This window comes from Homo sapiens, chromosome 17 (assembly GCF_000001405.40).
Source record: "Homo sapiens chromosome 17, GRCh38.p14 Primary Assembly".
NCBI classification, from domain to species: domain Eukaryota; kingdom Metazoa; phylum Chordata; class Mammalia; order Primates; family Hominidae; genus Homo; species Homo sapiens.
In genome coordinates, this window is record NC_000017.11 from 10,661,726 (window position 1) to 10,672,473 (window position 10,748).

The 10,748-nt window shown below is 42.8% G+C and overlaps 1 protein-coding gene across 2 annotated transcripts in view; it reads right to left on the reverse strand.

Moving 5' to 3' along the window:
• The window catches only part of MYH3 (myosin heavy chain 3), a 49,886-nt gene that overhangs the window by 33,194 nt on the left and 5,944 nt on the right, over positions 1–10,748 (reverse strand). The window contains exon 2 of one of the 2 annotated variants that reach the window (XM_047436127.1): positions 6,894–7,009. The exons of the other annotated variant lie outside the window; for it this stretch is intronic. The gene's annotated coding sequence lies outside the window, so the exon portion shown is untranslated. The remainder of the gene's footprint in view (positions 1–6,893; positions 7,010–10,748) is intronic. 2 annotated transcript variants of the gene reach the window in all.

Consider the following 10,748-nt stretch of genomic DNA (forward strand, 5'->3'; position numbering starts at 1 on the left):
CAGCATCATGCCCAGGACCGCTGTCTGCCAGAGCATGAAGTCAGCCTTGGAGAGCACATGGCTCCTGGATCAAGAGCGTTCTCCATGCCCCACTGTGATGGGGATTAGGTGTCACTAGAAATGAGGAACTCGGTTATCCTGAGCCAAGACCATTCCCTGGCACTGAGGTGAAGGGTGGGGGTCCTAAGCCAAAATGCCCAGAGTCTCAAGAAGAAATTCAAGAAGAGAGAGGCCATAACTCTCCTTTTAGTTCAATTCAACTATATTATGCACCTTCCCCAGCTTTCTTTCTTTCTTTCTTTCTTTTTTTTTTTTAGACAGGGTCTCACTCTGTCACCCAGGCTGGAGTGCAGTGCCATGATCTTGGCTCACTACAACCTCGGCCTCCCAGGTTCAAGTGATTCTTGTGCCTCAGCCTCCCAAGTAGCTGGGATTAGAGGGAGGTGCCCCCATGCCAGGCTAATTTTTGTATTTTGAGTAGAGACCGGGTTTTCCTATGTTGTTCAGGCTGGTCTCAAATTCCTGTCCTCAAATGATCCACCCGCCTTGGCCTCCCAAAGTGCTGGGATTACAGGCAGGAGCCACTGCGTCTGGTCCCCAACTTTCTATCATGAAAAATGTCAAGCATTTAGGTAAGTACAAAGCGTAATAAATGAACACCCATATCTAAATGCGACCACTGTTAACACTTTGCCAGTTTGCTTTCTCCCTCTCTCCCTTCTCTTTCTTTCTCTGTAGCTAAGTCTTATTTTGCTATGCCATTTGAAAGTAGTAGACAATATGCAAATTCACCCTTAAATATTCAGTATATATCTCCTAAGAAAAAGGACAATCTCCAAAATGCCATTGTTTTACCCAATAAAATTAGTAATAATTCTATATCATGTCTTAGGCAGTTCGCATGTAAATTTTTCCAGTTCTTCCAACAATGGTATAGCTGGGTTCTCCCCAACCCCCAAGTAAAGATGGAATCTTTTTTTAGGCATTACACTTGATGAGTATGTCTCTTTAGTTTCTTTTAGTCTTGATCATTCCTCCTACCTTATTTAGTTATTTTTCGGTAATATAAACATTATCGGGGCTGAGTGCAGTGGCTGACGCCTGTAACCTCAGCACTTTGGGAGGCTGAGGTGGGTGGATCACCTGAGGTAAGGAATTCAAGACCAGCCTGGATAACATGTTGAAACCCTGTATCTGCTAAAAACACAAAAATTAGCCGGGTGTGGTGGTGGGTTCCTGTAATCCCAGCTACTCAGGAGGCTGAGGCAGGAGAATCACTTGAACCTGGGAGGCAGAGGTTGCAGTGAGCCGAGATTACACCACTGCACTCCAGCCTGGGTGAGAGAGTGAGACTCCATCTCAAAATAAAATAAAGTAAAAAAAAGTAAACTGAAATAAAATAAAATAAAATAAATCTTATTGGACATTTTACGTGCCAGACACAGAACCCAGCCCTTCCAGGGAGATACAGATGGAGACAGCCTGGTCTCTGTCTTCGAGAAGGCGTTCACCTCTAAGAGTGAGAAGAGGCAGACATATTCCTCCAAATGAACTGTATGGTACAAGATCAAAAGTGTTGAGGGGATCAAAAAGTCACACATGCTGATGGTGTTCGAATGAGGGAGAAAGAATGTCTCGCGGAACAAGGTGGCCCCAGGGAGGGAATGCTAGGGCACTCTGTGAAGAGGCATTCATGTGGGGCCCTGTGGAGCAGGAAGAGTGCTCGAGAAGTCAAGGGTGCAAGAAGGCATCCTCAGCAAGGGGACAGGAGGGCCAAAGGCAGAAGTGGGAAAGCTCACAGGGGCCCAGGAAATGAAGGCTTCTGGAAAGCTGTGGTACAGGGAAAGCCAAGTCGACAGACATCAGACATTGATGGATTTCTCGAAGGGTCCTTTCCTCTGGGAGGGGAAATGGGTGGCTGGGGGGACACAGGACAGGAGGGGGACTTTCTTTTGGCTTTTTGCTATTTACCTTTCTGTAACTTTTGAATTATGTGCTTGGTATATGTGTCACCTATTCCAAAAACTAACTAACACTTAAAAAAAGGTCTAACATGGCCAGATGCGGTGGCTCACACCTGTAATCCCAGCACTTTGGGAGGCCGAGACAGGTGGATCACCTTAGATCAGGAGTTCGAGACCAGCGTGACCAACATGGTGAAATGCCGTCTTTACTAAAAATACAAAAATTAGCTGGATGTGGTGGCGTGCACCTGTAATCCCAGCTACTCAGGAGGCTGAGGCAGGAGAATTGCTTGAACCTGGGGGGCAGATGTTGCAGTGAGCCAAGATCGTGCCATTGCACTCCAGCCTGGGTGACAGAGTGAGACTCCGTCTTAAAAAAAAAAAAAAAAAAAAAAAGGTCTAGTATGAAAAATGCTTCCCACCTTGCAAATACAATAAAAATGAATATTATGCCTGCTTTCAAGAAGGTTATGTAGAGTCTTATAAAAACTCACTGTTAATGCAGGAGTAAAAATTGCTAGCACATTTTCGTCTCTGCTCTGCTAAAGATATTGTGAGCATTGGTTCATCTAATGCTCATGTAAACTCTGCGAGGGAGGCACTATGATTAGCTACGAATCCCAGAAGAGGAAACCAAGGCACGAGACAGGTAGAGAAACTTGCTTGGGGTAGGTAGCTAGTGAGTGACCGGCCAGGATTATAATGGAGTCCGGTTTGATGTCAGAGCCTTGCAGAGAACCACCTCCCTAACTATTAATACATGAGAAAAGATTAGGGGATGGACGGTTCAGGAGTTATGACATAAGCTGGAAAGTTTGCAAAGTTAATCAGAGTAAATTTCCTGAAAATGTCAAACTTCGATCTGTGAGTGAAAGGGAGAGCTGGTGCTGAAAGATGAACAAGTAATGAGTTGACGGGGAAACCTAAGCCACGGGGAAACCTAAGGAGAGGACTCAAGATGAGAGTCAGGTCCAAGACACTCAGCTGGCAAAAAGGAGACGACCCCGTATCTATGGTGGGGCAGGTGGCGGCTACCGTCGCAGGCTGCATTGAACTCAGATGATTGACGGGACCCTTGTGGTAGGGAGCTCAGAGCAACATGATTGAAGCCGAGAAGAATGATTTGAGCAAAACAGGTGAAGACAGATTCCAAGGACAAAAAAAGGAGGCAGGCATGGCCCAGGACCTTGCCAGGGGATTTGGAGAAAGGAATTAAAAGTAATGGATGGGCCTGAACAATGACATAGACAAGGAAGCAGATAAATTAGTCTGCCAGCTATATATCAGGCATGGAAGGGAAAGATCAAAGATCACTGTGAGGTTACCAAAGGGATGAAATTGGGAGCAAACGGCATCATGATAATAGAAAATATAGAAGAAAGGTGGCCAATTTGGGAGGTAGGGGTTGGTTAAAATGTAAGCCATAACCTTTATTTATTCATTTATTTTTATTTTTTATTTTTTTATTTTTGAGATAGAGTCTTGCTCTGTCGTCCAGGCTGGAGTGCAGTGGCACGATCTTGGCTCACTGGAACCTCCGCCTCCTGGGTTCAAGCGATTCTCCTGCCTCAGCCTCCCGAGTAGCTGGAATTACAGGCACCCACCACCATGCCCAGCTAGTTTTTGTATTTTTAGTAGAGATGAGGTTTCACCATGTTGGTCAGGCTGGTCTTGAACTCCTAACCTCCAGTAGTCCGCCCGCCTTGGCCTCTCAAAGTGCTGGGATTACAGGTGTGAGCCACCGAACCCAGACTATAACCTTTAATTTAACACTGAATTTTTGTTTAAAGCAGCGATTTCAAACCTGGCTATCCCTTAGAATCACCCGAAGAGCTGTTTGTATAATCAATTGGTTCTGGAAGAAAAGACTCTATAGCAATAGAGAGGATAAAATACTTAAGAATAAACTTAACAGGAGATATGCAAAACTTTAAACTGCTGAAGGACACAAAAGTAGATATTCCTTGCTTTGGATAGGGTGATTCACCATCATAAAGATGTTAATTATCCTCAAGCTAATATATAAATGTAATGCAGTCCCAATAAAAATACCAACACTTCCTTTTTCTGGAGCTAGAAACTTGATTTTAAATTTTGTGGATGTATGGTAAAGAAAATACTGAAAAAAGAAAAGCCACAGGAGGACATTCTGCCAGATACTAAAACATACACTCTAAAGTCTACATAATGAAGAGGGCAGTGCTATGCATGAAGAGACAGACTGACCAGCGGAACAGCATAGAGAGTCCAGAAGGAGGCCCGGATACTTATGGAAATGTGATACCTGAAATGGCATCTCAAGTCAGTGGACCAAAGATGGACTCTTTAATAAGTGGTGATGAGACAACCAGATGGCTATTTGGAAAAAAAATGAATCCGGATCCATACCTCACACATACACCAGATTAAATAACAAATAGATCAAATCAAAATGCAAAGCCAGGAAACAGGCACTAAACTAGATCATGGTAGATTCTTTTATAATCTGGAAATGGGGAAGGCCCACCATGACTCAAAAGCAGTAAAATAAAAAACAATAGATAAATCCAACATCATAACAATTAAAAATCTTTATAGGAAAATTAAAATAGAGCCAAAAGACATGACAGGCTAGGCACAGTGGCTTATGCTTGTAATCACAACACGTTGGCCAGCTGAGGTGGGAGAATTGCTTGAGCTCAGGAGTTCCGGACCAGCGTGGGCAACAGAGTGAGACCTTGTCTCTACAAAAAAAAACCAGCAGGCATGGTGGTGCATGCCTACAGTCCCAGCTACTTGGGAGTGGCTCATGCCTGTAATCCCAACACTTTGGCCAGCTGAGGTGGGAGAATTGCTTGAGCCCAGGAGTTCTGGACCAGCGTGGGCAACAGAGTGAGACCTTGTCTCTACAAAAAAAAAAAAAAAAAAACTTAAAAAACTAGCCAGGCATGGTGGTGCATGCCTGCAGTCTCAGTCTCAGCTACTTGGGAGGCTGAGGGGGGAGGACTGCTTGAGCCCATGAGGCCAAGGCTACAGTGAGCTACAATCACGCCACTGCAGTCTAGCTCTGGCAACAGAGCAAGACAAAAACAAAAACAAAACAAAACTAAAAGACGTGATAAAATGGAAGAAAATATTTGTAATTTACATCACAAAGGGCCAACTTCCTTAATGCATAAATAATTCTTAGAAGTTACGAAGAAAAAGACAAGGAAAACAACAAAACCCTGCAGATAGCAACAAATGGCAAATAAACAAGCAGACGGTTTATAGAAAATGATACACAGAAGGGCTTTAAACATATGAAAAATGCTTACCTTTCCCTATTTAAGAAAAATGCATATTGAAAACACACTTTCTAACCAATCACATTGGAGAAAATCCAAATGCTGGGCAAGACATTCTGTTGGCAAAGCTGTCATAACACACACACTCACACTTTTCTGGTGGGTGGAAAATTGTGCAACTGCTACGGAGGATAATTTAGAAAAACAAACTAGCAAAATGATACGTGCAATTTCCCTTCCATTGGGAAAACCACTTCTAGGAACCTACGGTAAGAGATATTTTCACAAATACTAAAATACTGTGAGCATAACGATATTTATTGTGGCACTGTTCATAATAGTAAAAGATTGGAAACAGCCTATGTTTATTGACAGGAGGCTAATTGAATAAATTATGTTATATCCACATGAGACAATGTTATGCACCCTTAAAAAAGAATCAGAGGCCGGGTGCAGTGGCTCAAACCTGTAATCCCAGCACTTTGGGAGGCCAAGGCAGATGGATCACTTGAGGATAGGAGTTTGAGACCAGCCTGGCCAACGTGGTAAAACCTCATCTATACTAAAATACAAAAATTAGCCGGGTGTTGTGACAGGCGCCTGTAGTCCCAGCTACTTGGGATGCTGAGGCAGGGGAATCGCTTGAATCCAGGAGGCAGAGGTTTGCAGTGAGCCAAGATTGTGCCACCACACTCCAGCCTGGGTGACAGAGCAAGACTCTGTCTAAAAAAAAAAAAAAAAAAGAATTAGAAAGGTCTCTATGAGCTGAAATAGGTTAATTTCCAGGATATAGCGTTAAAAAAAAAACAGTGTTCTGGAATGTAATATTTTGAGACAAGAACATCTAACATAGGAAGGATAAATCAGACACTATTGAAAATGATTACTTATAGAGGGTGAATGGGACCCAGGAGAGGAGTGCCTTCTTATATGATTTTGACTTTTGAACCATATAAATGGTTTACAGATTTGAAAATAAATGTAAATATAAAGGAAAAAGCAAATCCTGAAATTGAATATGAACAGAACATTAATAAATCTAACATATCAAACTGATAACATAACTACACTTACAAAAGACTTAATTCCTGTCAATTTTGAAAAGTACTCTGTACATTCTTAGTGAGATATATTCAAAGCATAAAAAGAACTGCAGTGGCTGGGTGCGGCGGCTCACGCCTATAATCCTAGCACTTTGGGAGGCCAAGGCATGTGGATCACCTGAGGTCAGGAGTTTGAGACCAGCCTGACAAATATGGCGAAATCCCATCTCTACTAAAAATACAAAAATTAGCTGGGCGTGGTGGCGCGTGCCTGTAGTCCCAACTACTGAGGAGGCTGAGGCAGGAGAATCGCTTGAACACCGGAGGCAGAAGTTGTAGTGGGCCGAGATCACACCACTGTACTCCAGCCTGGGGGACAGAGGGAGACTCTTCTATCTATCTACCTACCTATCTTTCTATCTATTCAAATCTACAGCCTATTTTAGGTTGAAAGAGATCAAAGAGATAGAACAAAATGCAATACTACATGAACCTTGGTGAGGTCCTAGGTTGAAGAGAAAGAAGGAAAAAAGGAAAGGAAAAAAAGAACAATCTGATGAGACATTTGGGGGACAAATTGAAGAAATTTGAACATAAACTGGATATGAAATGATACTCACGGAATTTGTTAATTTTCTTAGGTGTGTAAATAGCGTTACAGTTACGCAGGACACTGTTGCTTACTTATAGGAGTTTTAGACTGAAATATTTGGAGAAAGGTAACTAATACAACACACTGCAAACAAGAAGAAAATAAAGGAGTTTACATCAGTAGTTTTCTGATGCTTTAGTTTGCTTTTCTTTTACCACAAGTGAGGTTGAACCTCAGCTTACACACTTGCTTGTCATTTGTAGTTCTGTGAATAGTCTTCATATCCTTTGCCCTTTTTCTCTTAAGATGTTAATGTTTTTCTATTTTAAGAACTTTCACATAGCAAAGATTTTAGTAATCACTGTGTATATTACAAATATTTTCCCCATTTGTTTCTTATCTCCTCTGAACCTCTCTACAATCCCAGGGGTTAGGCAGAGCAGGTGGAATTATCCCCACTTGATTGATGGGGAAACTATGACTCAGTGGGGAATGTTTGCCCAGGGCAACAGGGCTGTGGGAAGACCTCATGTCCCAGGATGTCCTGCTGCCCCGCAGGGATGTGAGCCCTAATAGCATCTTTTAGGATTACAGGACAAATAATTTTCCCTATACAAATTAAAATTTCTTAAATATTTGGGCCTCAATTTCCTCCTCTCTTACCAAAAAAGTGGAGTTGAGGCCGGGTGCGGTGGCTCACACCTGTAATCCCAGAACTTTGGGAGGCCCAGGCAGGCAGATCACTTGAGGTCAGGAGTTCGAGACCAGCCTGGCCAACATGGTGAAACCCCATCTCTACTAAAAATACAAAAATTAGCCAGGCATGGTGGCTGGCGCCTGTAATCCCAGCTACTCAGGAGGCTGAGGCAGGAAGGCTGAGGCAGGAGAATCGCTTGAACCTGGGAGATGGAGGTTGTACTGAGCTGAGACCACGCCATTGCCCTCCAGTCTGGGTGACAGAGTGAGAGTCCATCTCAAAAAAAAAAAAAAAAAAGAGGAGTTGAACTAAATGACCTCTTAAGTCATCTTCAGGTTGGGCACGGTGGCTTGCGCCTGTAATCCCAACACTTTCGGAGGCCGAGATGGGAGGGTCTCTTGAGCCCAGGAATTTAAGACCAGCCCTGGCAACATAGCCAGACCCCATCTCTACAAAAAATAAAAAACAAAAAAATCAGCTGGGCGTGGTGGTATGTGCCTGTAGTCCTAGCTACTCCAGACGCTGAGGTGAGAGGATTGCTTGAGCCTGGGAATTTGAGGCTGCAGTGAGCCACGACTGCACCACTGCACTCCAGCCTGGGTGACAGACTGAGACCCTGTCTCAAAAGGAATAAAGAAAATAAAATAAAAAATCATCTTCAGCTCTGCTATCTTCTGATTCTGTGATTTAAGGCACAAGAGAGATTTACTTGGACCAAAGCACTGGCTTTATCTCAAAGCGTGTATGTATGTTGAAGGTGGGGAGGCAGAGGCAGCTGGGTTATCAGTCCCACGTGTGACATTCTCCAGGGGGAATGTCCATGACAGTACATTACCAACAACATTTCCTTCATAGGCTTGAGTTCCGAAATGCCTCTCTCCAACCAAAAGCAATCAAGCACACACTGCAACAATAAACTCCAGCATTTCTGTTCCATGGCCAAAGAGTAGTAGGTCAAGGGAGATACTACTTTTACCCACAACCCCTGCAGGCATCATCAGTGGATCACAGCACCCAACATTTGAGCCTGGCCACGGCTTCATAATCATACTTAGTGCTGTATTGTAGGAAGCAAATGACTTGACTGAAATTGACCCAGAGATAAACTATCTTACTGACACTAGACTATTTTTCCTAATGATCTTTTTTTTCACTGTCAGTTTCTCCAAGTGAAATTTACAGTGTTTTGTTTGTTTGCTTGTTTGAGATGGGGGTCTCACTGTGTTGCCCAGGCTTGTTTTGAACTCTGGGGCTCAAGCAGTCCTCCTAGTTCAGCCTCCCTAGTAGCTGGGATTGCAAGCACATGCCACAGTGCCCAATTAATAATGACTCTTTCTTACTGCAAAGTTAATATATGTTCATTTAGGAAGATGTGGAAAATAAAAAGCCATCCACAAACACACCACTATTATTAATGCCTGTTAAGGTTTGGGTATTTTTTGTGCTTATGCAAACAATGGGATCAAACTTCTACGGCTTACTTGCTCAAAGTACATATTGGATATCTTTTCAGATCATTAAATATTAATCAATAGCTCTATTTTAATGGTTCTACGGTACCCCACTTATGAATGTACCACTGTTTTATCTGCTGTAATTGTTTTTGTCTGCTTGTTTTTTGAGATGGAGTCTTCCTCTGTCACCCAGGCTGGAGTGCAGTGGCGCGATCTTGGCTCACTGCAACCTCCAGCCCCTGGATTCAAGTGATTCTCCTGCCTCAGCCTCCCTGAGTAGCTGGGACTACAGGCACGCACCACCACGCCCAGCTAATTTTTTTTGTACTTTTAGTAGAGACGGAGTTTCACCATGTTGGCCAAACTGGTCTCGAACTCCTGACCTCAGGTGATCCGCCCGCCTTGGCTCCTAAAGTGCTGGGATTACAGGCGTGAGCCACCATGCCCGGCCTCTGCTGTATCTTATGGATGCCCTAGAGTTGGGCATCTAGGTTGTTTTCCATTATTTACTATTTCCATGATTATTACAAAAATACTGCAGTGAACAAATTCTTGTGCATATCTATGATTCTGTTAATAAATGCATAAAGATGGAATAGCTGGCTTGCTGTATATCAACAAATTGCTACCCAGAAAGACTGCCACACTTCACATTCCATCGCTTTCCATGTGAGAGTCCATTTTACCCCCATCCTCAATGGGTAACATCATTCTTTTAGTGTTTTGTCAAACTGAGACAAAAATTCCACTGTTTGAATTAAATTATTAACTATTTGTATTCCTCTTTTCTGAAGCTGTTTGTGTCCTTTGCCCTGCTTTTTCTCAGGGTCATTTTTTTTTTTTTTTTTTTTTTTTGAGACAGAGTCTAGCTCTTGTCGCCCAGGCTGGAGTGCAGTGGTGTGATCTCGGCTCACTGCAAGCTCCGCCTCCCGGGTTCATGCCATTCTCCTGCCTCAGCCTCCTGAGTAGCTGGGACTATAGGCACCGGCCACCACGCCCGGCTAATTTTTTGTATTTTTAGTAGAGACAGGGTTTCACTGTGTTAGCCAGGATGGTCTCGATCTCCTGACCTTGTGATCCGCCCGCCTCAGCCTCCCAATGTGCTGGGATTACAGGCGTGAGCACCTGTAATCCCAGGGTGGGAACACCCGCGCCCAGCCAGGGTGTTCATCTTTTATTTCCTTATGAATTTGTAAACACTGCTTATATATCGGTGATAGTAACTCTTTGTTATATATTTTTGATCAAGCCTAGTAATGGTTTACTTTATGCTTTCTGCCTTTGCTGTCATGCTTACAAAAACCATCCCTACTATTTTAGTCTGACTTTGGTGGTTACAAAAACAGGCTCATTCTGAACCTCCAGAGAAAGAAAGGGAGGAGGCAGTGGGTATTGTAAAACTCATGTTCATTTTAAAGGAGGACACAGACTAAGAACCTAACTTGTTTCATTTCATTAATCACTGTTCCAATATTTTTAATAATCTTGATCATCATACTATCTTTGTTACATAGTAACGTTTTACATAATATGGATCTATTCCATACTTTTATTTCCAACTGGATCTTTCTGTTAAATGCTACATAAGTACTACACTTTAAAAAAAGTATTATGGCTCAGCAATATAGATTACTATTGATAAGGCAGGTCTTTCCTCCTTGGTCTTATTTTTCACATTTATTTTTCCAAATCTCAGAATCTTTCTGTTGAGCTACAAAAAAAAAAGACACTG